Raw genomic sequence first — 5,511 nt, 5'->3', positions numbered from 1 at the left:
TTTTTCCCTATTAGGTTGGAATTTGTAATGGAATTTAGTTGAAAGAATAATTGCCAGAAAGAAATACCTGAAAACCACTGGTCTGTAAAAATAAAGAAGATTCTCAGTATGCTGATTAAATAGTACCTGAGCTACTGTGTTATAATCTGAATGCCATACTTCATGGAATGTATCCAGCGGAGAGTCGTCTCACCTAATTCTAAGGAAATCTGAATTGCATTATATAAGAGACTATCATTTGTTCAGCAAATATTTATTTACCAGATTTTCACTAATCCACTGGGCACTGCTGATATAAGACTGAGGAAGAGGAGACAAGGTTTTTTCGCTGATGAAGCTGACATTTTAGTGGGTAAGACAGGAAAAAATATGTAATAAAATGGTAAATACAGTACTGGCAACAATAATAATCCATATTTTTCAAGTTGATGAGTTCATAAAATGTCCCAGAAAAAGGTATACAATTTTAACTAATAAATACAATTGAAATATATCTGAAAGTCTTGAAAGTCAGGCAGCCAACTCCTATTTTAACAAGTACATAAAATGTACTTACGCAGGGATGTTTTCAATTTGCAATTGAATCATAAGTTAATATCAAGGATGAGTAATAAAAGGGAATCTTCATCTCTATATTCCTTCTTTAACTTTATATTCAAGATCTTCTTCAGATTTCTTTTTCTTTGTATTTTTTCTCCTCCCTACCTTTGGACATTTATCATGTTGTCTCTGTAATGCCCTTAAATGTTTAAAAAAAAAAATCCATGGTGAGAGGGAAGGGGCTGTGAAGCTCTTTAAAATAACCCACTCTTTCATTTTGCAATTTGCAAAACATAAGGACATCTATTTGAAATACAACACTTCTGCGTCTTTCAATTTATTAGATCTTGCCTCTGGCCTGTAACAAAAGTCGAAGACACTGGAGAAACCATGAAAGACCCCTCCACTGTAAAGTCAATAAAATTGTTCCAGAGCAGGGAATTATGTGTCAAGGCAAGCTGGCGGTGGCATCTGCTGCTGTATTGACTGTCCGCATTTGCTCAAATGCTCTGGCCAGCTGAACAGTCTCTCCTTTCTCTCCTCACGTATCCACATGTGTTCCCCTAAGGCCATCTTCTAGCTGAAGGCATATGTGGCGGAAAACCAAAGTAGCACACTTCTTTAATGTGAGGATATTACTTGTGAAATTTTCTGCTACCACAGCTGCTGGCATAACCAGAGAGAGAGGTCAGTTTAGTGCAGATAGGAGGGGCCAGGACAGAGGCAGACATAGAGGAGATAGGAGTGCCCTGATGCTCTGAAGGGAGCAGCCTGCCCACATTGATGTTTTTTTAAATAGTTTTTATTTTTCCTTTATTTTAATGGCTATACAAAAAAATATATGTTTTTCCCCTTTTTAATTTCTCTCTCAACTTTGGTCCCAGCTCCAAGAAATCTCATTATGTATATGCAAATGCTCAGCTTGTAATATTTTGTCATCCATCATTTTAATTCTGTGATTTAAGTGATACCATTTTCAGGTTGATTTTAAAAAATAGTATAGTGTTCCTACATGAGTTTGTATTTTAAATATTATTTCAACAGCCTTACTATATTTTTTAAACTTTGACCAAAGACTGTGCTATTGAACAACTCAGATTTTTGAAATTCTACATGATTTTTTTTTAATTGGTAAAAGATAAACAGGTAGTTCTTAAAGACATAAATATGAAAATATTCTGTGATGGACAATTTAATCCTGTGAGACTTTGTAGGCATGATACTGATGAAGTCTATTATATACCTGCTTCTATAGATGTATGCACATAGATAAGCATATACATATTTTTTACTAGCCTGAGGAAGAATTTATGGCTAATATGTTTTCCTCTTCGTTGCTACTAGCACAATTTGTATTTTAAAGATTTTAACTTTCTACTACTATGGTTCTCTAGCTCATTCTGATTTATGATTCTATATACACAGGTTGAGTGTTCCATATCTGAAATGCTTGGGACCAGAAGTGTTTGGGATTTTGGAATATTTGCATATACATTATGAGATTTCTGGGAGATGGGACTCAAGTGTGAATAAGAAATTCATCTATGTTTCTCATACATCTTATATGCATCAACTGAAGGTAATTTATTTTGCCTTTGGTGACACTGAATAAATTGTGTTGTGTGTGTGCACTTTGACTGCCACACCTCACACAGGTTCCAGTGTGGAATTCTTCACTTGTGGCATCATGTTGGCACTCAAAAAGTTTCAGATTTTGGAGCATTTATGACCAGATTTCCCGATTAGGAATGTGCAACCTGTAAAACCTATTAACTTCCTGCTGTTAAAGACAAGGATTTATTTCACTTCTGCCACTCTCAGAGTATTCTACCGCCTAATTATACCATTGTTTCTCTACCAGTTGCCACTATAATTTTAAATAACATGCATAGGCTTCTACTTTTGATTCCATTAATTGGAGACAATATTTTTTGACTCTACCCTTGATGATGGGATAGGTGAGCAAATCAGTTCTGTAACCCTTCTTTCTCTCTGCTTGCTTAGTCATTCCCCAATCCTATTGGAAATAAATTTGCTCTTATGTTACCATTGTTGGTATTCTCTTCTGTCGCATAGTCTCCTCACACTCTGTTTTCTTAGGTTGTGTGTATAAGTTTAAAACCAATAGAACAATATAAATTATTTTAATTGTATCTAATTATAATTATTAAACTAATTAATTTTATAGTATGTAATTATATTAATTATAACATTATAATTATATCTTCTTCTCTTTAGTTCCAACATTTTAGTCTTGTGCAAGTTTAAGCTAAAAATCTTCAAAAAATTTTTGCATACTCCACCAATTATTTACAATCAGGCTAACATATTAGTTTGCTTCCTACCTGGATTACACCTTTCTCCACAGTTAGGAGTTGCTTTTGCTTTTTCTTTTTTGCTGAAGTCACTATCCTTTATTGAAGGTAAATTTTTTAAAAATTTTATAACGAATATCTTCCAGCTCTTCTTTGTCTCTTGCTGAGAATCCAGTGTGATTGACTCACCAGCATCTGATCCTGAGCAAATTGTTTTGTATTGGGGAAATGCTTTTGTTTTGTTTTTGTTTTTGTTTTTTGTTTTTTTTTTTTTTTGCCTCTTTTTTATGTGGAGTACCCAGTTACACATATTTTGTTCATGCAATTGATCTTAATCATATGATAAATTTCTTATTATTGTCTATTGTAATAGATCTGACTTTTATTCCTGAGTCTGCCTTACAATTATGAACTGGACTTAAGCCTCTACAGACTCATGGCCCAACTTCATCCTTGGACCCTTGTTCTCTGTTCTCCTGGACTGGGGCCTCCACCACTTCTGACTTCCAGTCCATATTGCTGCAGCATTTTCATAAGGAATTTCCTAAGAGCACATGGTATGTTCTGAATCTTAAAACGTCTATAATCTCTCAGCATTAACTAATATTTTGACTGGCTGAAGTACAGGATGAAAGTAACATTGAAAGCACTCTATTCTATAAGCTTCTCCAAACAAATCTCAGATAAAATTGATTCTTTCAGTAGGCAGATGGATAATTTATTTTCTATCCTTCTACACTAAATCTTTTTATCTTCTATCTACAAGGTAATAAATTTCCAATTCATGTGCCTCAAGCTGTTGTTGTTTGCCATTTATCTTTCTCTGAATTTGAAGACATATGCATCCTGTTAAGTCTATAAAACTTTCTTCTTTTATTGTTATTGAATGTTTATCTCCCCACTGCCACTGCTTTATCTGTTTACAACTCCTACCATGACACCTCATAGATAGATTATCTCTGTTGCTCTTCCAGCTTTCTATTGCTGCATATCAAACCAATCCCAAGTTCACATATTACTGAAGTTGTGAAGAAACAGGAGTTCTCACACAAAGTTGATGAGAATTTTAATTGGCACAGTATTTTTGGAAGGCAATTTGGCAATTTAATATGACAAACCCCTTGATTACTATTTTACATATTTATTTTACAAATATATTTTCACAAGTGCTAAAACACATATAAGTATATGAATGTTAATTATAGAAAAATCTGGAATACTAAAATTCTTAAAAAGATGTATAATTCAATAAAATAAAAACACATTTAACCAATAACATAACTTATGGACATTTCAAAATGAGCCTATGACTGATGTAAAAATTAGTAAAAATAAGATTACAAACCAAATTAATGTTCTACACTCATGTAGAATATACAAGCATGTATGTATATACACATGTATATGCATATATATATCCCTCTACAATTTATATGTACAATATAAATTGTAGATATCATCCTGTTAATTTACATGTACATAGAAAAATATATAAAAGTAACTATTAAAAGTTATTTCTTTTAGATATGAGGTTAGATGAGGCTGGAAAAGATGTAAGAGACTTTTTTTATCTTTTTATGACCTGAATTATTTTGTTTTATGGATTATTTTTGCAATTAAAAACACAGTAAAGAATTTTTAAAAGGGAAAGTGATCAATAGAGGAATAGGGGATGAGATAGCATGCTAAATAGGAAGCTATGGAAGCACTGAGAAGGTAGACTCAATCTGCTTTGAAGGAAAGGGTACTTGAATTGGTTGCATTGGCAGAAAGGATTTATTCACACAAAGTAAGAAGGAATGCCCTGATCAGATGTGCATTTTGTGATAATCAATCTAATTGAATGTAGATGATAGAATATAAGGTTAGATTGAAGTTAGTCATTTCAGTATTCATTTATGGTAATAATTAAAGTCTAAAATAAGTAACACATTACCCAAGATTTATGACACAGTGGGAATAGAAAGGACCAACTGCTTGGATGGATTGCATGTGGAATGGGAAATACGGATAATGGCCTTAGCTTTCTATTATTGCTGTAGCAATTTACCACTAATTCAGTGGCATAAAACAACACCCATTTGTTATCTCACTGGCATCTGGGTAGACTGTAGTAAGTCAGGCATCAGGTAAGTCAGGCATCTGGGTGAACTGTAGCCAAGGAGGATCCTCGGCTAGTCTCACAAGGCCAAAATCAAGGTGATGGAATTTGTCTCTGGAGGTTCTGGGGCTGAATCTGCTTCCAAGCTCACTCAGGTTGTTGGTAAAATTTAGTTCCCTGTAGTTGTAGTAATGAAGTCCCTGTTTCCTTGTTAACTGTCACTTGGGGGTCATGCTTTGCTCCTAGAAGCTGTCTGCATTCCTTCACACACTTTCCACAAGCCCTTCCTCTAGCAATAGCAAGTCAAGTCACTCTGTCATTTTGATTATCTACAACTTTTCTCATCTCAACTTTTTTATTATTTCCAGAGAAAGTTTACCACTTTTAAGGACTCATGTGATTGGGTTGGGCCCAAGTAGATAACCCCTGATAGCCTCCTTATTTTACTGCCTATGATTTAATTACATCTATCAAGTCCCATTTGCCATGTTACATGACATATTCAAAGGCTCCAGGCATTAGACTGGGCATCCAGGCATTAGGGTGTGGACATCT

Source organism: Homo sapiens, chromosome 5 (genome assembly GCF_000001405.40).
Source record: "Homo sapiens chromosome 5, GRCh38.p14 Primary Assembly".
Taxonomy (NCBI): domain Eukaryota; kingdom Metazoa; phylum Chordata; class Mammalia; order Primates; family Hominidae; genus Homo; species Homo sapiens.
Note: the sequence above shows the minus strand (reverse complement) of the source record.